Source organism: Homo sapiens, chromosome 17 (assembly GCF_000001405.40).
Source record: "Homo sapiens chromosome 17, GRCh38.p14 Primary Assembly".
In the NCBI taxonomy this organism is placed as follows: domain Eukaryota; kingdom Metazoa; phylum Chordata; class Mammalia; order Primates; family Hominidae; genus Homo; species Homo sapiens.
In genome coordinates this window covers 75,978,211-76,006,030 of record NC_000017.11, presented here as the reverse complement: position 1 = coordinate 76,006,030, position 27,820 = coordinate 75,978,211, and the positions used below count along the sequence as shown (strand labels likewise).

The 27,820-nt window shown below is 51.2% G+C and overlaps 3 protein-coding genes and 2 long non-coding RNA genes across 8 annotated transcripts in view, besides 14 other annotated features; 2 read left to right on the top strand and 3 right to left on the bottom strand.

The window, feature by feature from the left end:
- TEN1-CDK3 (TEN1-CDK3 readthrough (NMD candidate)) lies at positions 32 to 26,814 on the bottom strand. The gene is made up of 10 exons (NR_037709.1): positions 26,520 to 26,814; positions 19,747 to 19,844; positions 14,408 to 14,565; positions 4,490 to 5,890; positions 4,080 to 4,157; positions 3,889 to 4,009; positions 3,613 to 3,783; positions 3,419 to 3,520; positions 2,633 to 2,836; positions 32 to 733 (listed from the first exon to the last, which is right to left on the bottom strand). It is a non-coding gene; the product is annotated as a TEN1-CDK3 readthrough (NMD candidate) (long non-coding RNA).
- CDK3 (cyclin dependent kinase 3) lies at positions 33 to 5,176 on the bottom strand. The gene is made up of 8 exons (NM_001258.4): positions 5,064 to 5,176; positions 4,490 to 4,619; positions 4,080 to 4,157; positions 3,889 to 4,009; positions 3,613 to 3,783; positions 3,419 to 3,520; positions 2,633 to 2,836; positions 33 to 733 (listed from the first exon to the last, which is right to left on the bottom strand). Exons 2-8 carry the CDS (start codon positions 4,603 to 4,605, stop codon positions 608 to 610), a joined length of 918 nt encoding a protein of 305 aa, NP_001249.1. The 5' UTR covers positions 4,606 to 4,619; positions 5,064 to 5,176; the 3' UTR covers positions 33 to 607.
- Positions 829 to 1,123: a silencer, noted in NCBI's record as "tiled region #2383; K562 Repressive non-DNase unmatched - State 10:DNaseD". NCBI's record gives its function as "represses a minimal TATA promoter and a strong SV40 promoter by Sharpr-MPRA in K562 cells {active_cell/tissue: K562}" and the evidence as "EXISTENCE:reporter gene assay evidence [ECO:0000049][PMID:27701403]".
- Positions 2,737 to 2,937: a silencer, noted in NCBI's record as "peak3002 fragment used in MPRA reporter construct". NCBI's record gives its function as "represses an SCP1 promoter by STARR-seq MPRAs in K562 erythroleukemia cells {active_cell/tissue: K562}" and the evidence as "EXISTENCE:reporter gene assay evidence [ECO:0000049][PMID:32103011]".
- Positions 5,290 to 5,369: a silencer, noted in NCBI's record as "silent region_9000". NCBI's record gives its function as "represses an Ori minimal core promoter by ATAC-STARR-seq in GM12878 lymphoblastoid cells {active_cell/tissue: GM12878}" and the evidence as "EXISTENCE:reporter gene assay evidence [ECO:0000049][PMID:35858748]".
- TEN1 (TEN1 subunit of CST complex) lies at positions 5,445 to 26,791 on the bottom strand. Its single transcript, NM_001113324.3, has 4 exons — positions 26,520 to 26,791; positions 19,747 to 19,844; positions 14,408 to 14,565; positions 5,445 to 5,890 (listed from the first exon to the last, which is right to left on the bottom strand). Exons 2-4 carry the CDS (start codon positions 19,836 to 19,838, stop codon positions 5,769 to 5,771), a joined length of 372 nt encoding a protein of 123 aa, NP_001106795.2. The 5' UTR covers positions 19,839 to 19,844; positions 26,520 to 26,791; the 3' UTR covers positions 5,445 to 5,768.
- LOC124904061 (uncharacterized) lies at positions 5,471 to 7,359 on the top strand. The gene is made up of 2 exons (XR_007065911.1): positions 5,471 to 6,226; positions 6,395 to 7,359. It is a non-coding gene; the product is annotated as an uncharacterized LOC124904061 (long non-coding RNA).
- Positions 5,500 to 5,549: an enhancer, noted in NCBI's record as "active region_12789". NCBI's record gives its function as "activates an Ori minimal core promoter by ATAC-STARR-seq in GM12878 lymphoblastoid cells {active_cell/tissue: GM12878}" and the evidence as "EXISTENCE:reporter gene assay evidence [ECO:0000049][PMID:35858748]".
- Positions 8,435 to 8,484: an enhancer, noted in NCBI's record as "active region_12788". NCBI's record gives its function as "activates an Ori minimal core promoter by ATAC-STARR-seq in GM12878 lymphoblastoid cells {active_cell/tissue: GM12878}" and the evidence as "EXISTENCE:reporter gene assay evidence [ECO:0000049][PMID:35858748]".
- Positions 8,655 to 8,734: an enhancer, noted in NCBI's record as "active region_12787". NCBI's record gives its function as "activates an Ori minimal core promoter by ATAC-STARR-seq in GM12878 lymphoblastoid cells {active_cell/tissue: GM12878}" and the evidence as "EXISTENCE:reporter gene assay evidence [ECO:0000049][PMID:35858748]".
- Positions 21,810 to 22,639: an enhancer, noted in NCBI's record as "H3K27ac-H3K4me1 hESC enhancer chr17:73979473-73980302 (GRCh37/hg19 assembly coordinates)". NCBI's record gives its function as "activates a minimal SCP1, AML or CMV promoter by ChIP-STARR-seq in naive and primed H9 embryonic stem cells {active_cell/tissue: H9 hESC(naive and primed)}" and the evidence as "EXISTENCE:reporter gene assay evidence [ECO:0000049][PMID:30033119]".
- Positions 22,109 to 22,403: an enhancer, noted in NCBI's record as "tiled region #628; K562 Activating DNase unmatched - State 5:Enh". NCBI's record gives its function as "activates a minimal TATA promoter and a strong SV40 promoter by Sharpr-MPRA in K562 cells {active_cell/tissue: K562}" and the evidence as "EXISTENCE:reporter gene assay evidence [ECO:0000049][PMID:27701403]".
- Positions 26,303 to 26,402: an enhancer, noted in NCBI's record as "active region_12786". NCBI's record gives its function as "activates an Ori minimal core promoter by ATAC-STARR-seq in GM12878 lymphoblastoid cells {active_cell/tissue: GM12878}" and the evidence as "EXISTENCE:reporter gene assay evidence [ECO:0000049][PMID:35858748]".
- Positions 26,524 to 27,107: an enhancer, noted in NCBI's record as "H3K27ac hESC enhancer chr17:73975005-73975588 (GRCh37/hg19 assembly coordinates)". NCBI's record gives its function as "activates a minimal SCP1, AML or CMV promoter by ChIP-STARR-seq in naive H9 embryonic stem cells {active_cell/tissue: H9 hESC(naive)}" and the evidence as "EXISTENCE:reporter gene assay evidence [ECO:0000049][PMID:30033119]".
- Positions 26,524 to 27,691: a biological region, named in NCBI's record as "hESC enhancers GRCh37_chr17:73974421-73975004 and GRCh37_chr17:73975005-73975588".
- Positions 26,823 to 26,892: a silencer, noted in NCBI's record as "silent region_8999". NCBI's record gives its function as "represses an Ori minimal core promoter by ATAC-STARR-seq in GM12878 lymphoblastoid cells {active_cell/tissue: GM12878}" and the evidence as "EXISTENCE:reporter gene assay evidence [ECO:0000049][PMID:35858748]".
- ACOX1 (acyl-CoA oxidase 1) overlaps positions 26,865 to 27,820 on the top strand; it is a 37,660-nt gene continuing 36,704 nt past the window's right edge. For 2 of the 4 annotated variants that reach the window (NM_004035.7, NM_007292.6), the window contains exons 1-2: positions 26,865 to 27,066; positions 27,338 to 27,497. In NM_004035.7, coding sequence (NP_004026.2) covers positions 26,958 to 27,066; positions 27,338 to 27,497 — 269 coding nt within the window. In that variant the 5' untranslated portion in view covers positions 26,865 to 26,957. Of the gene's footprint in view, positions 27,241 to 27,337; positions 27,498 to 27,820 lie in introns of those variants that run through there. The other 2 variants (NM_001185039.2, XM_047436183.1) reach the window with 2 other exon arrangements.
- Positions 26,973 to 27,202: an enhancer, noted in NCBI's record as "active region_12785". NCBI's record gives its function as "activates an Ori minimal core promoter by ATAC-STARR-seq in GM12878 lymphoblastoid cells {active_cell/tissue: GM12878}" and the evidence as "EXISTENCE:reporter gene assay evidence [ECO:0000049][PMID:35858748]".
- Positions 27,108 to 27,691: an enhancer, noted in NCBI's record as "H3K27ac-H3K4me1 hESC enhancer chr17:73974421-73975004 (GRCh37/hg19 assembly coordinates)". NCBI's record gives its function as "activates a minimal SCP1, AML or CMV promoter by ChIP-STARR-seq in primed H9 embryonic stem cells {active_cell/tissue: H9 hESC(primed)}" and the evidence as "EXISTENCE:reporter gene assay evidence [ECO:0000049][PMID:30033119]".

Sequence of the window (27,820 nt, the reverse complement as noted above, 5' to 3'; positions counted from 1 at the left end):
GGTGTCCCCTGTGAGCAGAACAATCAGAAAACTCAGGAACATACCACGTTTATTTATTGTTGTCAAGCCAGAAATGAACCAAAAGAAGCACATCTCAGGTGAAGGAACAACTCCTTATTGCAGTCATAGCCCAGCTCTCCTGGGATCCGGGGAACGCCCTCTCTCCTCTCCCTCACTCCCTCCTGTTTAACTTGGGACTGAACTGGAACTCAACTCTTCCCCCAAACATTTTAAATCCAAAAAGACCAGCAGGGGGCGCCCTTTCCTCAGGGTCTGGCCCTGCAGGCAGGGCAGGTGAGGGCCTGAATACCCACACCCAGCTCTGGCAGGCCCCCTGCCTTCAACTTGGCACTTGTTCCAGTGCCCGGGGACCCCTCGTGCATGGAGCATCTGTGCCTCTATTTTGAAACGGCACCGTCCAACCCAAAAAACAACACAGGATCTCGCTAACCTGCGGGCAGGACTAACCCAGACTCAGCCCTCTGCAGGCTGATGCTGAATTCCTTAGTGCTTTGCTCTCCCCAGATGCATCCTCTCTTGGCAATGGGTAGGAGGCAGCTGGGGCAGCAGCTGCTCGAGAAAGGATCTGAGTGTGGCCTTGACATTCTCAATGGCGGAATCGCTGCAGCACATACTGGCGGGCAGCTGGGGAGGGCTCAGGGGATGAGAAGTACGGGTGGGCCAGGGCAGTCTTGGCTGTGATCCGCTGGCTGGGGTCATACTGCAGGAGTTGCTAGGAAGAAAGAAGGAAGAAGATGTGGTCTGGGTGCAGCCAGGGTGGGGTGAGAAATTCCCCTCCCAGGTCCCAGATCAAGGGCCTGGGCCCCAAATTGGCTGCCCTCAAACCCAGAACCGCATGAAGCCATGACCTCCCAGCTCTCCAGCCAGTTCCGGACACTCCTGGAATCTGGACAGTCCTAACGAGTCACCCAGGTCTCCTCAGGCCACTGAAGCTGAGTCACCCCCCTTCTCGGGGAGGGTCCCAGGTCCCAGCCTGCTTCTAGTTGGGAAGAGCACAGAACCCCACGTATCAGGAAGCAGGGGACTGAAGCTGTCCAGGGAGGAACACTGAGTGGGGGCTCAGGGACTGACACTCCAAGAGGCCAAACCTGTCCAGCCCTCTGCCCTAGAGTCCCTAAACCCAGACAGGATGTGGAAGGACCCCCTGTGGTGGAGTAGCCCAGCTGGAGGGCTCGGGGCCTTGGCTGGAGTCTGTGCCGTCCTGCTGCCATTGGGCGGGTACACAACACACAGAGACTTCTGGAGAGCTGGACACACAGCCTGAAGATGAAAATACTGACCCACCTTCCTCTCATTCAACACCAGATTAAGGAGAGAAATGTGGCTCCAAGACTTTGTGGGCAAGAATGGACAGTGGACGGGCGCAGTGGCTCACACCTGTGATCCCCCCAGCACTTTGAGAGGCCAAGGTAGGAGGATCGCTTGAGCCCAGGAGTTCGAGACCAGTCTGAGCAACATAGTGAGACCCCATTTCTACAAAAATAAAATTAGCTGGGCATGGTGGTGCACCCCTATAGTCTCAGCTACTCAGGAAGCTGAGGTGGGAGGATCAATTGAGCCCAGGAGTTCGAGACCAGCCTGGGCAACGTGGTGAAATGCTGTCTCTACAAAAAAAATACAAAAGGTAGCCAGGCATAGTGGCGTATACCTGTGGTCCCAGCTACTCAGGAGGCTGAGATGGGAGGATCGCTTGTGCCTGGGAGGTCAAGGCTGCAGTAAGTCATGGTCACACCACTGCACGCCAGCCTGAGTGACAGACTGAGACCCTGTCTCAAAAAAAAAAAAAAAAACAGACGGTTCTGCCAGAGACTTCCTGGGCAGTCCGGCCTGGGTCAGCTCAAGACACCAACAGGAGGGGTGAGTGAGAACTGTGGCATGGGCCCAGGCAGTAGGGAACAGCCTGTTCTGAAGACTGACCACTGTAGGAGTCACAGGGGAACAGCCAGGCAGTAGAACGAGAGGCCCCAGCCGGGCACAGTGGCTCATGCCTGTAATCCCAGCACTTTGGGAAGCCGAGGTGGGCAGATCACCTGAGGAGTTCAAGACCAGTCTGGCCAACATGGTGAAACCCTGTCTCTACTAAAAAAAAAAATACAAAAATTAGCTGGGCGTGGTGGCAGGCACCTGTAGTCCCAGCTACTCGGGAGGCTGAGGCAGGAGAATGACTTGAACCCAGGAGGCAGAAGTTGCAGTGAGCTGAGATCACGCCATTGCACTCCAGCCCGGGCAACAAGAGCAAAACTCCATCTCAAAAAAAAGAAAAGAAAAGAAGGTATGGCCCCAGCCTGGGGAGGCATACAGCTTAGATGGAGCAGTAATGTCCACAAAGTAGAATAACCAAACACACAAGACAACTAGGGAAAAAGGGCGTGTAGCACAGCATAAAGACAGAGCTAACTCAATGAGCGCCACTTTCACAGGGAAGATAAATACTGCACTTATCCTGGGGGAGGCTTCCGGGTTGAACAATCAGTATACCCAAGCCAGTTGTGTACAAAGGTCAGGAAAGAGACCCTGGCCTTGGACTCAGAAAGTGCCAGGGTTATGTAAGAGGCTGGCTGATGAGGGGAAACTGTAGTCGGAGCAGCAGCTGGAGCCCACATGCACCTACCATGAGCAGGTCCCTGCCCTCTGGCTCCAGATTGGGCACAATCTCTTCCAGTCCCTTCCTGGTCCACTTAGGGAAGCTGCCCTTATAGTCAGGCAGCTGGGTGACCCCGGGCCATGTGTCTTCGCTGGGTGTCCCCAGCATACGAAAGATACGAAAGAGCTGGTCAATCTCAGAGTCACCAGGAAACAGGGCTTTTCGAGTCACCTGAAATGGGGAAGAAGAGAAGGTGTGGGGTCCGCCACTTTGTTATACAGAATCCAATACCAGATAAGTGGCCAGACCCAGGGAGAGGCCTGTCAAGATATCTTTTCCATGACTGTGCAAAGAATTCTGGCCTCTTTTGGAATAAAGCTACCTTCCTCAGTCCTTTAGCCAGTACCAAACACCTTTTTTTAAAAAATAGAGACGGAGTCTTGCTCTGTCACCCAGGCTAGAGTGCAGTCGTGCGATCACAGCTCACTGCAGCCTCAACCACAGGCTCAAGCAATCCTCCTGCCTCAACCTCCCAAGTAGCTGGGACTACAAGCATGCACCACCACACCCAGCTAATTTTTGTAGTTTTTTAAGAGCTGGGGATTTGTTACGTTGCCCAGGCTGGTCTCAAACTCCTGGGCTCAAGCCATCCTCCCATCTCAGCCTCCCAAAGTGCTGGGATTACGGGCGTGAGCCATGTCCAGCCCCAAACACTCTTTAATCCGCCTCGAATGGGAGCATCAGTGGACCCCACCCAACCCCAGTAGGACCCTGCCTGTGGCACCCTGTGGCCATGTGTGCCCCTCTCTCTACCATCTCTGCAAAGATGCAACCAATGCTCCAGATATCCACAGCTGTGGTATAGAACTTGCTGCCCAAGAGAATCTCGGGGGCGCGATACCACAGTGTCACCACCTGCAGGGCAAAGAAACAGTATCACTCAGGGTGGCTGAGTGCATGGGTGACACTCCTCCTGCTGCCCCTCTCTCCTCTTTGTCTCACAATACCTCATGGGTGTAGGTGCGCAGGGGCACCCCGAAGGCGCGAGCCAGGCCGAAGTCAGCCAGCTTGATGGCACCCAACTCATTGATGAGCAGGTTCTGGGGCTTCAGGTCTCGGTGGATGACCCGATGTGAGTGGCAGAAACTCACCCCCTGCAGCAGCTGGAAGAGGTAGCTCTGGAGAAACGAGCGCGAGGTGCAGCCAGCTGAGCGGAGGTGCTGCGTGGACAGGGATGGCAGGGATGGGGTGTCACCTCTCCTTCCCTGCCCTTCCTTCCCTACCTTGATGAGGTGCAGGGGGAGCTCTGAGCCTGGGGTGGAGTCCATGTACTTCTTCAGGTCCTGGCTGAGGAACTCAAACACCAGATAGAGCTTCCTCTCGTTGTGCACCACGTCCAGCAGTCTGACAGGGAGATGGCAGTCAGGATGCTACCTTCGCCATCCCAGCTTCCCCACCTCAATCCCCAACTCACCGGACGATGTTGGGGTGCTTCAGTTCCTTGAGCAGCGAGATCTCCCTGATGGCAGTGCTTGGGACCCCCTCCATCTCCCTGCAAGAAACAAGGGCACAGCCGTGGGCAGAGACTTGGGCCAAGAAGGGCACTTCCAGCCAGGGGGATCGGCTTCTCCTTAACCCCACAGAATGACCAGGGCCCCGGCAATGGAGACCTGTGCTCCTTGGCACGTCATCCACCAAACTCCACAGTCAGGGCCCCGGCAAAGGCTGGTCAGAAGGCAGTGAACTGGGGAGAGGACAGGTAAGGGCTGCTGGGCAGCACCCAGAGGAGTTAAACGTGGACTCCAGGAAAGAGGGAACGGATCAGGGAGCGCCCAGGTTGTGATGGCCCAGGGTGGGTAACTCAGGGGCCGTCCCAGCACTCACAAATCCAGTCTGATCTTCTTCAGGGCCACCAGCTGCCCTGTCTCCCTGTTCTTGGCCTTGTACACCACCCCATAGGTGCCCTCTCCGATCTTCTCTACCTTCTGGAACATATCCATGGCCACAGAGCTGCCTGGGAAACAGAAGGCACCGGGCAATTTGCACCCCACGCCCAGCGCTCCCGTTGCTCCTCCAGCTTCCATGTGGCGCCCTGCCCAGCCCAGCCCAGCCCAGACTGCCCAGCTCCCAAGGCCCACGGCCTAGCCACCCCAACCCCAGCTCATCCTGCCTGGGAACCTGGCTGGGGGTCGGAAACCGCCCCTCACCCAGCCCAGCCCGGACCCCAAGGGGGTCAGGGGGCCCCCTTCACCCAGCCCAGTTCAGCCAGGACCCCCAGGCTTCTCGCCCATGCCCGGCCTCGGAGGGCAGGGCCCACACTCTCCCACCCAGCCCCCTGCCCATCCCAGCCAGAACCCCCAGGAAGTCAGAGACCACCCCTCGCCCAGCCCAGCCCAACATGGACCCCCAGGCCTCTCACTTGTGCCGGGCCTTAGAGGGCAAGACCACCCTTTCCCACCTGGGTCACTGCCCAGCCCAGCCAGTCCCAGGCTCTGGGTACACATGGCGGCCAGGAAGGGCTGCCCAGGGGCCAGGGCCACTGGGGGCAGAGGTCAGGGGTCAGGAGGGTCTTAAAGCCACAGTCCTGTCTTAGGCTGCACGGTCAGGGCCCAGGGCCTCAGCCCGGCCCGTGTGACGACGCTCAGCCTCCTCTGAAGGCAGAGCCTGGCCAGGGGCAGACCCCTGCATCCTGGGCCCCCCACCCCAGCCCCTGGGCCCCTGGTGCCCTACCCTGAGGCCCCAGGCCCAGAATTCACCAGAAGCCCTGAGAGGCTGCAGCCCACAGCCTGGGTTGCAGCTCCCCCTCCTGGCCCCCGCCGGCGCTGCACCACGAGCACACTTCAAGAGCACGCCCCCTGGGCCTTTATTCACCAGGACCTTCTGGAACCCTCCATGGCCCCACACCAAGCACGGCCCCGGCGCCCAAGCTCGGCCACCTGCAGTCTCCTGGGGTGGGGCTGTCGGATTTATGGCATGCTTTCTGGGTTCTCATTGCTGAGCCAATCCCAAAGTAGGGGAAGGGGCTGGATTCATCACCCGCCCCTCGGCTTTCGAGCTCCAGACAAGGCCGTCGCTGGGGAGGCGTCTGTGCTCTCCCGGGCTCCTGCAGCTCCAGAGGGTTCGGGCTCTGAAGCAGGTGAGGGTGTTGCTAGGCTGCTGTTTCCTACTGGCTGCCGCCCCGCTCCTGCTTGTACAGTCTCTGCTCCCGGATGGCTTGTTCCAACAAGGGCAGGTTCATCCCCTCCACACAGGTCAGCACGCGCGCCTTCACCACGGAGCCTCTGTCTGCAAGACAAACACCAGGGCACGAACGGCGACTGAGCGGCGTGTCAACAACGTCCTCCAAGGTGCATTCCAGCTGTTCCCTCCACAGCTCAGTCCTGGGTTTTGGCAGCAAGTGATGTGGACAATAACAGCATATGGGGCAAAGGCAACTGAGTATTTGGGCCTAGAACCGTGGGCCTGTCATGCACAGTCGGCCCGTGTCTGGAACTTAGCAGGTGGTCAGAAAACCCCTCTGGACTGAGGGAAAGGCCCCCTTGGCACCTTGGGACACAATGTCATCAGGAACCGGGGAAAAGAGACACCCATATTTTAAAAATCCAAGAGACTGAGCTCCCGGTAAGTTTGGCTTTATAGGAGCAGGTCATCCCACCCTGGACGAGGGGGGCTTCTAGCAGATGCGGTGGTGACCTGATACATAATGGAAAGGTTTGCCACTATTCAGGTGGCACCAAACAGGAAAGACATCTCCGAGAGACTTTTTAAAAATTTTCTTTCTTTTGACAGGTGAACTGGCTCACACCTGTAATCTCAGCACTTTGGGAGGCCAAGGCATGTGGAACACTTGAGGTCAGGAGTTCAAGACCAGCCTGGCCAACATGATGAAACCCCATCTCTACTAAAAATACAAAAATTAGCCGCGTGTAGTGGTGCATGCCTGTAATCCCAGCTACTTGGAAGGCTGAGGCAGGAGAATTGCTTGAACCCAGGAGGTGGAGGTTGCAGTGAGCCAAGATCACGCCACTGCACTCCAGCCTGGGCAACAGAGCAAGACTCCACCTAAAAAAAAAAATTTTTTTTTTGAGACAGGGTGTTGCTCTGTCACTTGGGCTGGAATGCAGTGGCTCAATCATGGCTCAATGTAGCCTCCACCTCCCAGGCTCAGGTGATCATCTCAGCTTCCTGAGGAGCTGGGACTACAGGGACGCACCACCACACCCAGCTAATTTTTGTATTTCTTGTAGAGATGGGGTCTCGCCATGTTGCCCAGGCTGGTTTCAAACTCCTGGGGTCAAGTGATCTGCCCGCCTCGGCCTCCCAACATGCATGGATTATAGGCGTGAGCCACTGTGCATTGCTGACATTTTTTTTTTCTTTCTTTTTTCCCCAGTCATAGCTTGCAAGAGAAAAAAAAAAGTTAAAAAAATTTTTTGCACTCATGCTCTTTCTGCTCTCTGAGCACTTTAATAAATAGATTTCCGAGATGGGTGGATCACCTGAGGTCAGGAGTTCATGACCAGCTTGGCCAACACGGCAAAACCCCGTCTCTACTAAAAATACAAAAATTAGCCAGGTGTGGTAGCTGGCACCTGTAAACCCAGCTACTCGGGAGGCTGAGGCAGGAGAATCGCTTGAACCTGGGAGGCAGACGTTGCAGTGAGCCGAGATCAAGCCACTGCACTCCAGCCTGGGCAACAGAGTGAGACTCTGTCTCAAAATAAGTAAATAAATAGATTCAATGTTCTAGGCTATTACATTGTTTTCTTTTGACGCTGTTTGAGATAAAGGCTCTGCCTGCCCTTTCCTCTAGTCTAGGTCATTTATAGCACAGCCTGAGGGCAGAATTCAGGGTGTCATCCTGCCTAGCTGTCTATACAGGCTACCCTTAGGCAATGAACTCATTTGAAACATGAGGTTGCCTGTGTGTCTCAGCTTCTGTTAGCCCCAGTGCTGACACAGGTCAGAGAGGAATCGGGGCGTGGCGCGGTGGCTCCCAACACTGTAATCCCAACACTTTGGGAGGGCAAGACAAGCAGATCACTTGAGGCCAGGAGCTCAAGACCAGCCTGGCCAACAAGCGAAAACCCTGTCTCTACTAAAAATACAAAAGTTACCCAGGCCCGACTACTTGGGAGGCTGAGGCACGAGAATCACTTGAACCGGGGAGGTGGATGTCGCAGTGAGCCAAGATTGCGCCACTGCACTCCAGCCTGGGAAACAGAATGAGACTCTGTCTCAAAAAAAAAAAAAAAAGGAAAAAAAAAGGAAAAAGGCCAGGCGCAGTGGCTCACATCTGTAATCCCAGCACTCTGGGAGGCTGACGCAGGCGGATCACCTGAGGTCAGGAGCTGAAGACCAGCCTGGCCAACATGGTGAAACCCTGTCTCTACTAAAAAGACAAAAATTAGCTGGGTGTGGTGGCGGGCACCTGTAATCCCAGCTACTAGGGAGGCTGAGGCAGAATCGCTTGAACCCAGGAAGCAGAGGTTGCAGTAAGCAGAGATCGTGCCACTGCACTCCCAGCCTGGGTGACAGAGCGAGACTCCATCTCAGGAAAAAAAAAAAAAGATTAAGAACCTGGAGCAAAGAAGAAGGGCCTGGGTTATAAAAAGCAGTCAGAATGCAGTGGGGTGAGGCCTGGGAAGAGGAAGGGGTTATACGGAGCACAGATGTTCTTTTAGGAGGTTTGTCTGCAAAGGGAGGGAAGGTCATGGGCAGGTAGGTCAGACTCTAGTGTAGAAGATGACTTCTTGTCATTGAGACTATTATTTCCATATAGAGGAGGCTTGAACACCTTATATGTGGACAGGGAAGAACTGTGGTAACCCCTTAGGTAGGAGGGACCCCGCTTCCTCTTAGACTAGAGGAAGGAGCTAACGGTGGCCGTTTCAGTGTCTGATGGTCGGTGGCCGTTTCAGTGTCTGATGGTAGGAGGAAGAACGGCTGCCTGTGGCCTCGATTCTAGCTGGCTCATAAAGCAATAAGCCGGGAGGGACAGGGGAGGAGAGGAAGTGGGTTCTTGTGAGGCAGGGGAATTTCTGGACTAGCTGTGGTGGCGCCGGGGAGGGGGGTGTGGCCAGGACACAGGAAGGATTTCTAGGCAGAGCAGGGGAATGCCAGTGAGCCCCTGAAATCATTGAGCTCCAAATCCTTGGAGTTCTGTGATCTTTCTGCACTCAACAGTTGGCAGAACCAGGAGGGTGGAGGCTGGGGTCTTGGGGCAGGAGTGAAGCTGCCAGGAAAGTGGCTGAAATGGTAGTGAGGCCCAACGGGGAAGAGAGATGGGGGAGAAAGCCCGGGAGTCCTGAGTCCACAGGTCCTGATAGGGCAAGAGGGACGCAGCAGAAGTAGAAGGGAGAGTGGATGGCATGCAATTTCAGGAAAACAAGTCCAAGGTGCAGCAGCAGGCGTGGGAGGTGGAATTGGGGCAGAGGTGCACAGTGGTGGAACTGGTTGGCAGCAGGGAGACAGGGAGGGATGTGTGATGCTGACACACCCGAGGAGCCGGGGAAACTCCGGCCCTGCTCCAGACTCTGTGGGTGTGTGGTTTGGGGAGAAAGGTTTGGGCAAGTCCCAGAGCTGTAAGGATGCTCGAAGAGGGAGGTGCACAGGGGACACACAGGAAGGTTTCCCTCCCTCCCTTTCTCTTCTCTTTTCTCTTTCTTTTCTTTTCTTTCTTTTTCTTTCTTTCTCTCTCTCTTTTTTTTTTTTTTTTTGACAGGGTCTCACTCTGTCACCCAGGCTGCAGTACAGTGGTACAGTCTCAGCTCACTGCAATCTCTGCCTCCCTGGCTCAAGTGATCCTCCCACCTCAGCCTCCCCAGTAGCTGGGACTACAGGCATGTGTGCAACAACGCACCCTGCTAATTTTTGCATTTTTTGTAGAGACGGGGTTTCACCATGTTACCCAGGCTGGTTATTATTATTATTTTTTTTTGAGATGGAGTTTTGCTCTTGTCACCCAGGCTGGAGTGCAATGGTGTGATCTCAGCTCACTGCAACCTCCGCCTCCCAGTTTCAAGCGATTCTCCTGCCTTGGCCTCCTGAATAGCTGGGATTACAGGCATGTGCCACCACGCTCAGCTAATTTCGTATTTTTTGTAGAGACAGGGTTTCACCATGTTGGTCAGGCCGGTCTCGAACTCCTGACCTCAAGTGATCCACCCACCTCGGCCTCCCAAAGTGCTGGGATTACAGGCGTGAGCCACCACACCCGGCCGTCCAGGCTGGTCTTGAACTCCTGGACTCAAGTAATCCACCAGCCTCAGCCTCCCAAAAGTTCTGAGATTACAGGCATGAGCCACTGTGCCCAGCCTCTTTTCTTTTTCTTTAGAAACAGGGTCTCATTTTGTCACCCAGGTTGGAGTGCAGTGGCATGATCATAGCTCACTGCAGCATCGAACTCCTGCCTCAAGCCATCCTCCTGCCTCAGCCTCCCAAGTAGCTGGGACTACAAGCACAAGCCACCACACCCCACTAATATTTTCATTTTTGTAGAGATGGCGTCTCTCTGCGTTGCCCAGGTTGGTCTCAAACTCCTGGGTTCAAGTGATCCTCCCACCTCAGCCTCCGAACATGCTAGATTAGTGAGCTCCTGAGCCCAGCCACACAAGGAAGGTTTCTGAGGGCAAAGTGCAGGGGTGCAGTGAGAGAAAAGCAGAAGGCAGAGGATGCATGGCAAGGGCTTGTGGGCAGCTGCTTGCTGTTTGCTGTGGTCCAGTGCCCTTCAGCCTGGGCATGCTCCGAGGGCCTCTGGAGTAGGCCTGGGAAAGGCTGTGCCCCACACCTTAGTTCCAGAACAGGGGGCCCTCGGGCCTTTGGATGGCGCCAGCGGGTGTCAGGTCCATGGGTTTTATCACACACCAGCATGTCTTCACCTGTTGGTCTTCTTAGCTAGCTCTTAGGCAAACATTTGAGAAGGGTGACCTCTCACCTGTCCTCAGTACTGTCAGTCTGGCCACAGGGCAGGATTCACATCTGATCAACCTTTGTGTCCCCATAGAGCTTTGGGCCTGGCACAGGAAGGTTTATGGTTTTATTTCTACTTATTTATTATTTTGTAGAGACAGGCTCTTGCTACATTTCCCAGGCTGGTCTTGAACTCCTGGGCTCAAGCGATCCTCCCTCCCTAGCCTCTCAAAGTGCTGGGATTACAGGTGTGAGCAACCACACCTGGACTTTTTTTTCCTTTTTTTTTTTTTTGAAACAGGGTCTCACTCTGTCATCCAGGCTGGAGTGCAGTAGAGCAATCTTGGCTCACTGTAACCTTGAACTCCTGGACTCAAGCAATCCTGCCACCTCAGCGTCTCAAGTAACTGGGACTACAAGCCTGTGCCACCACACCTGGATAACTTTTTAATTTTTGTAAAGATGGGGTCTCACTATGTTGCCCAGGTTGGTCTTAAACTCCTGATCTCAAGCAGTCCTCCTTCCTTGGCATCCCAAATTGCTGAGATTACAGGCATGAGCCACCACACTTGGTTTTCACAGGGAGGTTTAAAGCAGCCACAGGGTGCCCCCTCTGCCCAGGCCAGAGGTCAGGGTGGACAGAGCACAGTCAGCCAGGATGCTCTCCTCCCACCTCCTCATCTTTGATTCGAGTTCCCTCCGTGAATGACGAGCGTGTATGACTTAGATAATCAAGACAGGCCGGGCGCGGTGGCTCACGCTTGTAATCCCAGCACTTTGGGAAGCTGAGGCAGGTGGATCATGAGGTCAGGAGCTCAAGACCAGCCTGGCCAAGATGGTGAAACCCTGTCTCTACTAAAAATACAAAACTTAGCCAGGCACAGTGGCAGGCGCCTGTAATCCCAGCTACTCAGGAGGCCAAGGCAGGAGAATCGCTTGAACCTGGGAGGCGGAGGTTGCAGTGAGCTGAGATCACGCCACTGCACTCCAGGCTGGGTGACAGAGTGAGAGAGTGAGACTCCGTCTCACAAAAAATAAGAGAAAATCAAGACAAACTTTTTCTTTTTCTTTTTTTTTTTTGAGACGGAGTTTTGCTCTTGTTGCCCAGGCTGGAGTGCAATGGTGCGATCTCGGCTCACAGCAACCTCCGCCTCCCGGGTTCAAGCGATTCTCCTGCCTCAGCCTCCCGAGTAGCTGGGATTACAGGCATGCACCACCACGCCCAGCTAATTTTGTATTTTTAGTAGAGGCAGGGTTTCTCCATGTTGGTCAGGCTGGTCTTGAATTTCCGACCTCCGGTGATCCTCCTGCCTTAGCCTCCCAAAGTGCTAGGATTACAGGTGTGAGCCACCGCGCCCAGCGACAAAAATGTTTTAAGAAAAAACCCCACAAAAAACAGGTTGTGATGCAAATTATAAGAGTACTAAACTAGCCAGTGCCCGGTAACAGGCTACTTCCTCTGAGGCCTGATTAGCTTCAGGTTCAATTTTTTTTGTTTTTTCTTCTGTTGTTGTTTTTTTGAGATGGAGTCTCGCTCTGCCAGGCTGGAGTGCAGTGGCACGATCTCCGCTCACTGCAACCTCCTCCGCCTCCCGGGTTCAAGCGATTCTCCTGCCTCAGCCTCCTGAGTAGCTGGGACTACAGGCGTGTGCCACCACGCCCGGCTAACTTTTTGTATTTTTAGTAGAGACGGGGTTTCGCCATGTTAGCCAGGATGGTCTCAATCTCCTGACCTCGAGATCCGCCCGCCTCGGCCTCCCAAAGTGCTGGGATTACAGGCGTGAGCCACGGCGCCCAGCCCAGGTTCAATTTTTTTGGCAAGAACCCAACAGAGGTGTTGCTATGTGTGTCTTCCTCATGACTCACATCGGAGGTACCTGATGTTTGCCCTTCTGATTTTTATCACGTCGACATTGATCAGGCCAGCCTAGGCACTGCTGGCGGGTCCCTCCATCACAATGATCTCATCAAGATGTTTCCTAATGATTTTGGCCACTAGCGAGGACTGTTGCCTGGATTTTTTATTTTGTCAGGGCTTTTAAAGTGATGACTTTGAATTTACGGATTTCTCCTGCGTTCATTCGCTGTGACTCTTCTCTAAAGAACTTTCCAGGCCAGGCGCGGTAGCTCACGCTTGTAATCCCAACACTTTGGGAGGCCGAGGCGGGCAGATCACAAGGTCAAGAGATCGAGACCATCCTGGCCAACATGGTGAAACCCCCATCTCTACTAAAAATACAAAAATTAGCCAGGCGTGGTGGCGCATGCCTGTAGTCCCAGCTACTCGGAAGGCTGAGGCAGGAGAATCGCTTGAACCCGGGAGGCGGAGGTTGCAGTGAGCTGAGATCATGCCACTACACTCCAGCCTGGCGAGAGCGACACTCCGTCTCAAAAAAAAAAAAAAAAGAAATAACTTTCCTTCATCAACCATTTGGTTTCCACTACAGGCAATCCATACAGAAATGGCAGGATAGAGCCTGGTGCCAAGATCGCGCCACTGCACTCAGCCTGGACAGCAGACCAAGACTCTGTCTCGAGACAAAAAAAAAAAAAAACCAGCAGTAAGAATCAGAAGCAGGCAGGGCTACTCGGGAGGCTGAGACAGGAGAATCGCTTGATCCAGGGAGCTGGAGGTTGCAGTGGGCTGAGATCGCGCCACTGCACTCCAGCCTGGTGACAGAGCAAGGCACTGTCTAAAAAAAAAAAAAAAAACGGTGGCTCACGCCTGTAATCCCAGCACTTTGGGAGGCCGAGGCGGGTGGATCACAAGGTCAGGAGATCAAGACCATCCTGGCTAATACGGTGAAACCCCGTCTCTACTAAAAATACAAAAAATTAGCCAGGCGTGGTGGCGGGCGCCCATAGTCCCAGCTACTTGGGAGGCTGAGGCAGGAGAATGGCGTGAACCCGGGAGGCGGAGCTTGCAGTGAGCCGAGATCGCGCCACTGCACTCCAGCCTGGGCGACAGAGCAAGACTCCGTCTCAAAAAATAAAAAGGAATCAGAAGTAAGGCTGAGTTTGGTGCTGCACACCTGTAATCCCAGCATTTTGGGAGGCCAAGGCACGCAGATCCCTCATCCCAAAATAATGACACCTTGTCTCCACAGAAAATTTTAAAATTAGCCAGGTGTGGTGGTGCACGCCTGTGGTCCCAGCTACTCAGGAGGCTGAGGTGGGAGCCTCATGAGCCCAGGAGATGGAGGTTGCAGTGAGCTGTGATCATACCACTGCACTCCAGCCTGGGTAACAGAGAGAGATCTTGTCTCAAAAAAACTAAAAAAAAAAAATTTTTAAGACTCAGATTAAAGGCTGACAGGCAAATTCAAAAAGATCTAAGCAAGCTGCCTCACATCAGGCCTGGTGTGTTGTAGGCCTTGAGAAATTAGTGGTTTCTCTCTCCTCGTTCTCACTTCCCCATGGGGGATTGTCTCTTCACTGTACCTGTCTTTTTTTTTTTTTTTTTTTTTTGAGACGGAGTCTCACTCTGTCATCTAGGCTGGAGTGCAGTGGAACGATCTTGGCTCACTGCAACCTGTACCTCCCTGGTGCAAGTGATTCTCCTGCCTCAGTCTCCTGAGTAGCTGGGACTACAGGCACATGCCACCACGCCCAGCTAAGTTTTGTACTTTTAGTAGGGATGGGGTTTCGCCATGTTGGCTAGGCTGGTCTCGAACTCCTGACCAGCCACCCTGTCTTTGAGTTGGCACCATGAGGCCAGTCCACTCTGAGTTGAATCCTCAAGAGTGTTGAACTTGTGGGCTAATTTGGAAGAAACATTAACCCTGATGAGACATTGCTGTTGGGTCACGAGCCCATTTCTCACTGACTGCCCCGAAGACTGCCCCAGCTCAGGCCCCAGGATGAGAAAGGGGATCTGAGGCTGCAGCTCACCCTGCTGATGCTGGAGCTCCCCGAGGACGATGTACAGGGAGCCCACCTGGGCGTGGAAGGGCTCCACCAACTTGGTACAGACAAGAACCTGGTGCTGATCGGATCCGTGCTGAGCCATCAGTGTTACTCTGGACTGAATCATGTCATAGAGGCACAACCTGGAAGGCAGAAGAAATGCAATAATTTCCATCCATACGTAGAATCACCACCACGCTCAAAAGGTTTGCATGGCCAAGAAATCTATAGAAAAGTGTTCAGCCTCAGTCTCATCACAGAAATGCAAATTGCAGCAACAAACCAGAAAAAAATGTTTCAGTCTACACTGTAGAATATGAAGGAATTCCTTTTAATTTTCATCTCCTTGCCTTCAATTTTCTTAATGGCATATTTTGATAAGCAGAAGCTTTTAATTTTGTTGATGATCAGTTTATTCATTTTTTTCTTTTTCTTTTTTCTTTTTTTTTTTTTTTTTTTGAGATGGAGTCTCGCTTTGTTGCCCAGGCTGGAGTGCAATGGAGCAATCTCGGCTCACTGCAACCTCCGCCTCCTGGGTTCAAGCAATTCTTGTGCCTCAGCCTCCCGAGTAGCTGGGATTACAGGTGCCTGCCACCAGGCCTGGCTAATTTTTGTATTTTTAGTAGAGAAGGGGTTTTACCATATTGTCCAGGCTGGTCTCCAACTCCTGACCTCAAGGGATCCACCCACCTCAGCCTCCCAAAGTACTGGGATTACAGGCATGAGCCACCACACCTGATCATTTTTTTCTTTTATGACTTTTGCTTTCTATGTCTTGTCTAAGAAATCTTTTTCTTCCTTTCTTTTTTTTTTTTTTCTGTATCCCAGGCTGCAGCCTTGACCTTCCAGGCTGCTCAAGCAATCCTCCCATCTCAGCCTCCTGAGTAGCTGGGACTATAGGTACTTGCCATCACACGTGGCTAATATTTTAATTTTTTGTACAGACAGGGTTTTGCTATGTTGTCCACACTGGTCTCGAACTCCTGGGCTCACGTGATCCACCTGCCTCAGCCTCCCAAAGTGCTGGGATTACACTCATGAGCCACTGTGCCTGGCCATCTTTTTTTTTTCAATATGGGCTACAAATGCTATAAATAGAAAAAAAAAAAAGAAATCTTTGCCTACTCAAAGTTGTAAAGATATTCTGCTGTTTACTTGAGACATTTCAGTCTTAGCTTGTAATCTATGACACAGTGTAAATTTTTTTTTGTATGTTGTGAAGTAAAGATCAAGATGTTTTCCCCTACCATAAGAATATCTAGCTGGGCGTGGTGGCTCATGCTGGTAATCCCAGCACTTTGGGAGGCCAAGGCAGATGGATCACTTGAGTCCAAGAGTTTGAGACCAACCTGGGCAACATGTTGAAACCCTGTCTCTACTAAAAATATAAAAAAAATTAGCCAGGCATGGTGGCACGCAGCTGTGGTCCCAGATACTTGGGAGGCCAAGACGGGAGGATCACTGGAGCCCAAGAGGCAGAGGCTGCAGTGAGCCGAGATCGTACCACTGCACTCCAGTCTGGGCAACAGAGCAAGACTCCGTCTCAAAAAAAAAAAAATCTAGGTTGGGCATGGTGGCTCACATCTGTAATCCCAGCACTTTGGGAGGCTGAGGCAAGAGGATTGCTTGAGCCCAGGTGTTAGAGACCAGCCTGGGCAATACAGCGAGATGCCGTCTCTATAATTTTTTTTTTTTTTTAATTAGCCAGGTACAGTGGTGCACGCCTGTGGTCTCAGCTACTTGGGAGGCTGAGGGGTCAAGGCTGTTGTGAGCCATGATCATGTCACTTGCACTTCAGCCTGGGCGACACAGTGTCAATATCCAGTAGTTCCACTTGTTGAAAGGACTATGCTTTCCCTACTGAATTATCTTGATGTCTTTATTGAAAATCAATAAAGCCAGGCACGATGGCTCACGCCTGTAATCCCAGCACTTTGGTAGGCTGAGGCAGACAGATCACAAGGTCAAGAGATGGAGACCATCCTGGCCAACATGGTGAAATCCCATCTCTACTTAAAAAAATACAAAAATTAGCTGGGTGTGGTGGGGCACGCCTGTAATCCCACCTACTTGGGAGGCTGAGACAGGAGAATCGCTTGAACCAGGGAGTTGGAGGTTGCAGTGAGCCAAGCTCACGCCACTGCACTCCAGCCTGGCGACAGAGCAAGACTCCATCTCAATTTAAAAAAACAAAAAAGGCCAGGTGCGGTGGCTCACATCTGTAATCCCAGCACTTTGGGAGGCCTAGGCAGGCAGATCACGAGGTCAGGAGATCGAGACCATCCTGGCTAACACGGTGAAACCCCATCTCTACAAAAACAAAAAAAAAACAAAAAAAAAAATTAGCCGGGCGTGGTGGCAGGTGCCTGTAGTCCCAGCTACTTGGGAGGCTGAGGCAGGAGAATGGCGTGAACCTGGGAGGCAGAACTTGCAGTGAGCTGAGATCGCGCCACTGCACTCCAGCCTGGGCAACAGAGCAAGGCTCTGTCTCAAAAAAAGAAAAAAAGAAAAGAAAATCAATAAAGAATTGGCTAAGTAGGCCGGGCGTGGTGGCTCACGCCTGTAATCCCAGCACTTTGGGGGGCCGAGGCGGGTGGATTACAAGGTCAGGAGTTCGAGACCAGCCTGGCCAAGATGGTGAAACACCGTTTCTACTAAAAAATAAAAAAAATTAGCCGGGTGTGATGGCAGTTGCCTGTAATACCAGCTACTCGGGAGGCTGAGGCAGGAGAATCGCTTGAACCTGGCAGGCAGAGGTTGCAGTGAGCCGAGATTGCACCACTGCACTCCAGCCTGGTGACAGAGTTAGACTCCGTCTCAAAAAAAAACAAAAGACTTGGCTAAGTAAATGATGCAATATCACCACAGTGAAACAAAATGGAACCATTCAAAATGATGATATAGATCTACATGTCTGAGATGGCACTAGGTCTACCATACACAGCTAAGTAAATAAATGCTACAATACAGTAATATAATAGGATCTCATCTAGGTTAAAATATTGCTTTCTTCTTCTTTTCTTTTTTTTTTTTTTTTTTTTTTTTTTGAGGCAGGATCTCACTCTGTCACCCAGGATAAAGTACAGTGGTGCAGTCTCGGCTCACTGCAGCCTAAACCTCCCAGGTTCAGGTGATCCTCCCACTTCAGCCTCCCCAGTAGCTGGGGCTACAGGCGCACACTGCCATGCCTGGCTAATTTTTTGTATATTTTGTAGAGACAGGGTTTCACCATGTTGCCCAGGCTTGTCTCAAACTCCTGGACTCAAGCAATCCTCCCACCTCAGCCTCCCAAAGTGCTAGGATCACAGGTGTAAGCCTCCACACCCAGCCCTTAACTAGGTTAAAATACTTCTTTTTTTTTTTTTTTTGAGGCCGAATTTCACTCTTGTCACCCAGGCTGGAGTGTAATGGCATGATCTCAGCTCACTGCCACCTCTGCCTCCCGGGTTCAAGCAATTCTCCTGCCTCAGCCTCCCGAATAGCTGGGATTACAGGCGCCTGCCACCACACCTGGCTAATTTTTGTATTTTTTATAGAGACGGGGTTTCACCATGTTGGCCAGGCTGGTTTTGAACTTCTGACCTCAGGTGATCTGCCCACTTAGGCTTCCCAAAGTGTTGGCATTACAGGCGTGAACCACCGCACCCAGGCTAGGTTAAAATACTAGTCTTTTTTTTTTTTTTTTTTTTTTTGAGATGGAGTCTCACCCTGTCCCCCAGGCTGGAGTGCAGTGGCGCAATCTCAGCTCACTGCAACCTCCACCTCCTAGGTTTAAGCGATTCTCCTGCCTCAGCCTCCTGAGTAGCTGGGATTATAGGCACCCACCACCAAGCCCGGCTAATTTTTGTATTTTTAGTAGAGACAGGGTTTCGCCATTTTGGTCCGGCTAGTCTCAAACTCCTGACCTCAGGTGATCCGCCTGCCTCGGCCTCCCAAAGTGCTGGGGTTACAGGCGTGAGCCACCGCACCTGGCCTAGGTTAAAATACTTCTATATGTATGTACACGTGTCTCTAAGATGGTCCCCTGTGATTCTCACCCCCGATATTTACATCCTTGTGCATCCCCTACGATGCTGAGTAAGGCTGACCTGTGTAATCAGTAGGATACTGCAGAAATGACTGAGACTGACTCTGGAAGCTAAGTCATGAAAGACACTGTGGTTTTCACCCTGCTCTTTCTCTTGGTCACTGCTTCTGGCAGAAACTGCTGTGTTATGAGGACCCTCACACAGAACTACAGAGAAATCCACATTGTCTGGAACTGAGTTATCTTGCCAAGAGCCAGCACTAATTTGCCAAACGTGAACAAGCCATCTTGGAAGTAGAGGTCCTGGCCCCAGTCAAGCCTCCAGATAACTGCAGCCCTGGCCAACATCTGGATGCCACTCCCATGAGCGACCCTGAGCCAGATCCAAACAGTTAAACCACTCCCAAATTCCTGACCCACAGTAACTATGAGACAATAATTATTTTAAATTTGGGGGAGGCTGGGCACAGTGGCTTACGCCTGTAATCCCAGCACTTTGGGAGGCTGAGTCAGGAGGATCGCTTGAGCCCAGGAGTTAGACACCAGCCTTGAGAATATAGGGATACCCTGTCTCTACGAAAAACTAAAATTGTGTGTATGGGTAATATGTTACATAGCAATATATAACTGATAAATAACTGACAGAGTATATATGTATATACGTATATTGGGTGTCTCCATACCCACCCACATATACAAACACATACATATGGAAAAGCACGAGGATAATCACCAAAGGTTAGCAGTGGTTGTCTGGGTAATGGGATTATGGGTGACTTTTCCTTCCTCTCTACACCTTTATGGACTATCTACACTTTTTACAATGAATATTAATTTTTTCAATATATATATGTATATATATTTATTATTATTATTTTTTGAGACAGAGTTTTGCTCTTGTCGCCCAGGCTGGAGTGCAATGGCGCGATTTCGGCTCGCTACAACCTCCACCTTCCACGTTCAAGCAATTCTCCTGCCTCAGCCTCTCGATTAGCTGGGATTATAGGCATGCGCCACCACGCCCAGCTAATTTTGTATTTTTAGTAGAGACAGGGTTTCTCCATGTTGGTCAGGCTGGTCTCAAACTCCCAACCTCAGGTGATCCACCCACCTCGGCCTCCCAAAGTGCTGCGATTACAGGCATGAGCCACCGCGCCCGGCAACTAATTTTTTTTTTAGTATTTTAACATAATTAGATGAAGTTATAAAAATCTTTTCTAATTATGTCTTTTTGGAGGTAGAGAAAGACATTTAACATATCATCACCCCCACCAGTGAAAAAAATAACCGTTCTCACCTGCCAAATGTTCTCAGCGTGCTCCCATCAGGAACTTGGCCTGCACTAACCTCCCAGGGGAGGTAATAGGTCCCAGGTTTGGGCAGCATCATGGGCTCCTGTAACCAAATAGTTGAGAGGGATTTTGAAGATTCCTGATAAACCGGATAGACTACAAAACAGAGATTAGCAGATATATGAGACCAACAGCATCTTGAAGACTAATTCCAGTAGGCAGTGTTTTAAAATTAAAAAAAAAATTTTTTGGGGGGAGGGATAGCATTAGGAGATATACCTAATGTAAATGACGAGTTAATGGGTGCAGCACACCAACATGGCACATGTATACATATGTAACAAACCTGCATGTTGTGCACATGGACCCTAGAACTTAAAGTATAATAAAAAATATATATAAAAAAGAAAAAATTTTTTTGATATAATATACATTCATGTATTAAAAAAAAAAGAAAAAAAAACATGGCCGGGTGCAGTGGCTCATGCCTATAATCCCAGCACTTTGGGAGGCTGAGGCGGGCGGATCACCTGAGGTCAGGAGTTCAAGACCAGCCTGACCAACATGGAGAAACGCTGTCTCTACTAAAAATACAAAATTAGCCGGGCATGGTGGCGCATGCCTGTAATCCCAGCTACTTGGGAGGCTGAGGCAGGAGAATAGCTTGAACCCAGGAGGTGGAAGTTTCAGTGAGCCAAGATCGTGCCATTGCACTCCAGCCAGGGCAATAAGAGCGAGACTCCGTCTCAAAAAACAAAGCAAGACAAACAAACAAAAAACAAACACAGACCAGCCTTGACAACATAGTGAGACTTCATCTCTATGAAAAAATTAAAACATTAGGCCAGGCACAGTGGCTCATGCCTGTAATCCCAGCTCTTTCGGAGGCCAAGCCAGGTGGATCCCTTGAGACTAGGAATTCGGGACCAGTCTGGGCAACATGGCAACAGCCCATCTCCACAAAAAAAATACAAAAATGGGCCAGGTGTGGTGTCTCTCACCTGTAGTCCCAGCAACTTAGGAGGCTGAGGCAGGAGGATCACCACCACAGGAGGTTGAAGCTGCAGTGAGCTATGATCACACCACTATACTGTAGCCTCGGCAATAGAGTAAGACCCTGTCTCAAAATAATAATAAACCAAAACAATATTTAAAAAGCTATGTGTGGCCCAGAATGGTGGCTCACACCTGTAATCCCAGTGCTTTTTAGTAGAGATGGGGTTTCACCATGTTTGTCAGCCTGGTCTCGAACTCTTGACCTCAGATGATCTACCCACCTTGGCCTCCCAAAGTGCTGGGATTACAGGCATGAGCCACCGCGCCTTGCCCAATTTGACTCTCTTCATCAACACGTTCCTCTTGCACCCTCTCAGGCACATAGTGCCAGGAAGAACTGTTCTGTTTGTCAGCAAAAGAGACAGAGACTGCCTGTGGCTATGGTGCAGATAACGTGGTGGAAGGTCCTGATCATAGCTGGCAAGTGAGACTCATGCTGGTAGCTCTGGGGCAGTACCACTGAACTCTGTTCCTTGACAGGAACAGACTGTGACTCTGGACTGGGCTTTGCTTACCTGCTAGAAGCTACAAATGCTTCAAAACAATCAGAACAAGGTTGGGTGCAGTGGCTCATGCCTATAATCCCAGCACTTGAGGAGGCTGAGGCGGGCAGATCACTTGAGCTCAGGAGTTTGAGGGCAACCTCGTCTCTACTAAAAATATAAAAATTATCCGGGTGTGGTCGTGCATGCCTGTAATCCCAGCTACTTGGGAGGATGAGATGGGAGGATCGCTTGAGTCTGCGAGGTCGAGGCTGCAGTGAGCTATGATTGCACCATTGCACTCCAGCCTGGGTGACAGAGTGAGATGCTGTCTCACAAAAACAAAATTAAATTTAAAAAAATGAAAAAGTAGAACAAGAGACAGTGCACAGATTTGGAAAGCCGACCATTATTTCTTCAGAACAAGGAACACATTGTACAGCCCATAATGGCCAACAATGAGCAAAAAGATCTCCTCCTCAGAGTCATAGTTTGATAGAGAAGTAAGATGTCCTTTGCAAAAATTGTATCAGTGAGAGAATTAGGACAGCGGGGGAGAGCTGATCTAGCCAGTCCCCCTCTTGCCTTTGGCCTCTAAGCTGCCCTTAATTATTCCTGGATTTGGGCCAAGCTAACTTTGGGAGACATTTAGTTTACAGTTTAAATGAAAATAGCCCTTCCCTAAAACGCAGCCACCTTTGTAAAGCTAATGAGAAACCACCAGGCTAGGAGCACAGAGAAGCCCGAACTCTGCTAAGATTGCCAGCCATTATTCCAGGGGTCACAAGCTAGGCAACTTCCCCAGTTACTCCTGCAGATAACATCACTATTGCAGAACCTAAGATTGGCCTTTGGAGATATCTTTTCAGGTTTTTTGCATGTCTGACACCAACAACTCCACATGGACCCCACCCACCACTCCTGCGGCCCCCCTCAGAGGTGACTCAGCCTGCAGGAGGACCATTTGCCACACCCCTAAGGTTGCACCCCCAACCAATCAGCAGCAAGCACCCATTGCCTAGCTGCCACCACCCCTTCCCCGAAACTACATTTAAATAATGTCTAATCTCTGAGCCTTCCAGAAGATTGACTAATAATACCAACTCCCACGTGGTGTGGCCAGCCTTGTGTCAATTAGTCTTTCTTGACTGTAATGCCATGCTCTCCATGAAATGATTTCGTTTGTGCTGTGGGAACCCATCAGGTGGTTATAGAGGTGGCATAGGCTATGAAAACACTGGTTGTCTAAAACAGGGGGAGATAACAATTATGAAGGGCTAGTGTACACGAGTGTGTGCTCACTAACATGAGGGGACTAAAGGAGTGTCCCCACTAGATGTTCCTGTTTTTCTGGTGGATCTGGGGAAAAAGAGGTGGGGAGGATGCTGGGGTTGCTATGCAATTCTCACCGAGGGAGGAATTTGCTGGTATAATGATTATACATTTTTCTTTCTTTCTTTCTTTCTTTTTTGAGATGGAGTCTCGCTCTGTCTGCCAGGCTGGAGTGCAGTGGCGGGATCTCGGCTCACTGTAACCACTGCCTCCCGGGTTCAAGCGATTTTCCTGCCTCAGCCTCCTGAGTAGCTGGGAATACAGGCGTGTGCCACCATGCCCGGCTAATTTTTGTATTTTTAGTAGAGACGGGGTTTCACCATGTTGGCCAGGCTGGTCATGAACTTCTGACCTCAGGTGATCCACCCACCTCGGCCTCCCAGAGTGTTGGGACTACAGGCGTGAGACACCTCACCGGGCCTCTTCCTTTTTTCTTTCTTTTTTTTTTTTTTGAGCCAAGGCGGGCAGATCACTTGAGGTCAGGAGTTCGAGACTAGCCTGGCCAATGTGGTGACACCCCGTCTCTACTAAAAATACAAAAATTAGCCAGGCATGATGGCGGGTGCCTGTAATCCCAGCTACAGGGAAGGCTAAGGCAGCAGAATTGCTTGAACCCGGGAGGCGGAGGCTGCAGTGAGCCGAGATCATGCCACTGCACTCCAGCCTGGGCGACAGAGTGAGACTCTGCCTGAAAAAATAATAAATAAATAAATAAATAAAACTATGATCAATGCTTGAGCCTAAGAGTTTGAGGCTGCAGTGAACTATGGTTGCGCCACTGCATTCTAGTCTGGGTGACAGAGCAAGGCCTTGTCTCAAACAAAACAAAACAAAGCAAAACTATGATCAAATACATGTGTATGCCTTTTCTCCTATTAATCACTTGTGTGGTATTCCTGCCAAAAATGCATCATCTGAATCTAATCATGAAGAAATATCAGACAAATCTGAATTAAGGGACATTCTACTGTAGGTGCCAAGGGGCCCTCTGAAGTTTCGCTGCAAAAAATCAACTTACAAAAGGCAGAGTAATAGTCAAAAATGTGTACAAATTTATGTAACATGTACATATGGGAGCCTTCAGAAGGAAGACCCAAAGATACAGGGGAAATTGTACATTTTTATGCAAATGATTGAACATAAAAGGTATGATCTAATGCTGATAGACTGAGTGGGGAGGCCCAGCAAGGCCTGTCTGTCTAGATTCTTCTTGGCCTCTTGGAACAGGCATTCCTTCCTTCTGGGTGTGGGGGAGGACCCTCTCTGGAATGGAGTCTTATGGCCTACAGTCAAACAAGCTAGGTCAGATAATTTCTTTTTGGCCAGTTTTTACACCAAAAGAAGGAGGGAAAGTTAAGAGTAATATATTTAGGGTTTTTTTTGTTTGTTTTTTGAGACAGAGTCTCACTCTGTCGCCCAGGCTGGAATGCAGTGGTGCAATCTCGGCTCACTGCAACCTCTGCCTCCCCGGTTCAAGCGATTCTCCTGCCTCAGACTCCCGAGTAGCCGGGACTACAGGCACATGGCACCTCGCTCGGCTTTTTTTGTATTTTTAGTAGAGACGGGGTTTCACCGTGTTAGCCAGGATGGTCTCGATCTCCTGACCTCGCTATCCACCTGCCTTGGCCTCCCAAAGTGCCAGGATTATAGGCGTGAGCCACCGCACCCAGCTTATATTTAGGGTTTTATGGCTGGCTTTGGGGGTAAATGACTCTGTTTTCTATGACCTGCCTTGGGGAAGAGGATTCTAACTTCTCTGGCTAGGCTCGGGGGAGAATGCACCTGAGGGAGAGGAGGACAGAAGGTAAAAAAAAAAAAAAAAACAACTTGCTTTGTGGGTTGCTTCTGAGGCCTTCATTTTGGGGTATTGTTTTCTGAGACCCAACACTACAAAACAATGGGCTTATACACTTCAAAAGTGTTAATGTCAGCCAGCCAGGCGCAGTGGCTCACGCCTGTAATCTCAGCACTTTGGAAGGCTGAGGCGAGCGGATCACATGAGGCCAGGAGTTGGAGACCAGCCTGGTCAACATAGTGAAACCCTGCCTCTAATAAAGACACAAAAATTAGCCAAGTGTGGTAGTACATTCCTGTAGTCCCAGCTACTCTGGAGGCTGAGGCATGAGAATCATTTGAACCCAGGAGGCGGAGGTTGCAGTGAGCTGAAATCATGCAACTGCACTCCAGCCTGGGTGACAGAGGAAGACATCATCTCAAAAGAAAAAAAAAAAGCGTTAAAGTCACAGAAGAAAAGTTCTTTGTTCTATTCTTGTAATTCTCGTGTAAATTTGAAATTATTTCAAAATAAAAACTCAGCAAATTTAGCTCTTCATCTAAGTCTTTTCTATTCAATGCTAAGTACACCCCTTATCATTGTTACATTAAGAGCAATTGGTTTCCTAGAATATTAGAACTAGAAGGTCAGCTGTCAAGCAGCCATTTGTTCACTCCACAAAGATTTCCTGAGCACCTTTAGCGGGGCAGGCACTGTGCCAGGTACAGAGAATAAACTAGACACCCTCTCTGCTGTTGAAGGGGCCTGAGATCAGCAGCTTAATAAGACAAATGAGGATCCTGAGGTCCTAGGGGTTAAGAGTGTGTATTATAGTTCTATTATTCAAATTATGAATGTTATGCATCTCTCGTAGTTTTACTTCTGAGAAAACCAAAGTCATAGTATTACACAGACTACAGACAGGCTAGGCGCAGCGGCTCACGCCTGTAATCCCGGCGCTTTGGGAGGCCGAGGCAGGTGGATCAACAGGTCAGGAATTCGAGACCAGCCTGGCCAACATGGCAAAATCCTGTCTCTACTAAAAATACAATTAGCTGGGTGTGGTGGCGAGCCCCTATAATCCCAGCTACTCGGGAGGCTGAGATAGGAGAATCGCTTGAACCCAGGGGGTGGAGGTTGCAATGAGCTGAGATCATACCACCACACTGCAGCCTGGGCGACAGAGCGAGACTCCGTCTCAAGAAAAAAAAAAAAAATGACTAGAGATGATTCAACAAATCCCTGAATCTCCCTTGTCTACAATCCCACTGGGCAGAACTGTTTTTGTTTTTTGTTTTTTTTCTGTAGAGACAGGGTCTCACTATGTTGCCCAGGATGGAGTGCAATGTCACAATCTTGGCTCACCGCAACCTCCACCTCCGGGGCTCAAGCCACCATCCCATCTCAGCCTTCAGAGTAGCTGGGACTACAGGCGCATGCCACTACACCCAGCTAATTTTTTGGTATTTTTTGTAGGGATGGGGTTTTGCCATGTTGCCCAGGCTGGTCTTGAACTCCTGGGCTCAAGTGATACGCCCGCCTCGTCCTCCCAAAGTGCTGGGATTCCAGGCGTGAGCCACCGCGCCCGGCCCTACACTAGGTTTTAACAGTAAGTGTGCATTTCCCACTTTGATGACGGTGATGGCGAAAGCAAAGAAGTCTGGATTCCAAGACCTCTAGTAACTGCCAGGTTGCGGGGGAAAATGTCTGGTTTCCCAGACAGAAGGCTTAGAGCAGCACCGCCCGCTTGGTCTCATTCTAAGTCCCCGTCCACCCCTTGAACAGCGCTCACAATCCCACACCCAGGGCCCCGGAACCCACGCCTCTGCCAGTAAAGACGCCATTATCTTAACAAAAGGTAACTGGAGCCTCTCCCCAAAGAGACTGGTTCCCGTCCCATTCTTCTCCAATCCGGGTGGATTTGGCAAAAGCCCAAGTGACCCTCCCTAGCAATTCCGCAAAGCCCCATCTCCCGCCCCAGACTCCAGAGTCTCCCGACCACTCTCATTTCGGAGAGGCCTAGGGGCACGGACCCGGAAGCGTGACAGAGGCCGCGGGGTAAGAGGGGGGCAAGTGCAGGCGCAATCCCTCCTCAGCCTCGTTGTCCCGCCCCCTTCCCAAGGCCCCAGCCAACCTGTTCTAGGCGTCGCCGGTCCTCGGATTTCTTCTTTCCGCCTCGCGTGGTCACGTGACGGGGGAGGGGCGGGATACAAAAAGTGCTTTATTTTCCCACTCCCCGGACGCCCAGCAGGGCAGTTTCTTGACCTTCGGAGCCCCTTTCCCGAGGATCCGCTCGGGAGCCTCCCCTGGCCAGGAGCAGGGGATTAGTCTGCCCCGCGACCGGCCCCAGCCACGACGCGGACATCGCCCCCTCTGTCTGGGCCGCTGTCACTCACGCGCCAAAGGGCCACGGAGAAAGAAGGGGCGGGCCGGGGCGGGCCGGGCGAGCGGAGGCGGGGACTTGCGCCGTCCTGAGGCTGCCTCCTAGGGTCCGGCCGGCGCTGGAGCTGCGGATTTAGATTGTCACTGCCACCTCGGTCGGTGCTTACTTCGCTGCCAGCTGGTCGTCGCCATGAACCCGGACCTGCGCAGGGAGCGGGATTCCGCCAGCTTCAACCCGGAGCTGCTTACACACATCCTGGACGGCAGCCCCGAGAAAACCCGGCGCCGCCGAGAGATCGGTGAGGGCGGCGGGCGAGACCTCCCTCCTTTCCCGAGAAAAGCTGGAGACTCCCTCGATGCGGAGTCAGGGGCGCTGTGGGGCCTAGGCCCTCTGGCCCAGCGTTAGGGGAGCCGGGACCCCCACTTCGAGGAACAGCCTGTGTCCCTGGTGGGGGGATATCGCCATTCCCCAGGTGTGTCCGCGACTCTGAAGCCTATTGTGATTCAGGGAGGGTGGAACGGAGGCCCGAGTGTCTGTCTGCCTTTTAATGCCCTTTAACCCCCTTTCAGAGAACATGATCCTGAACGACCCAGACTTCCAGCATGAGGACTTGAACTTCCTCACTCGCAGCCAGCGTTATGAGGTGGCTGTCAGGAAAAGTGCCATCATGGTGAAGAAGATGAGGGAGTTTGGCATCGCTGACCCTGATGAAATTATGTGGTTTAAAAAGTAGGTATGCCTTAGAACAGAGCAAGTGTTGTTAAGCCTAAACTTTACAGCTGCGGTCTATGGTGGCCTTTCATCACCGTGCTTGGTGTTTGAAGATGCAAACTGGCATATTTTCATGCAACTTTATAAAGTTATATGTGTGGCCGGGCGCGGTGGCTCACGCCTGTAATCCCAGCACTTTGGGAGGCCGAGGCGGGCGGATCACCAAGTCAGGAGATCGAGACCATTCTGGCTAACACGGTGAAACCCCATCTCTACTGAAAATACAAAAATTAGCCGGGCGTGGTGGCGGGCGCCTGTAGTTCCAGCTACTCGGGAGGCTG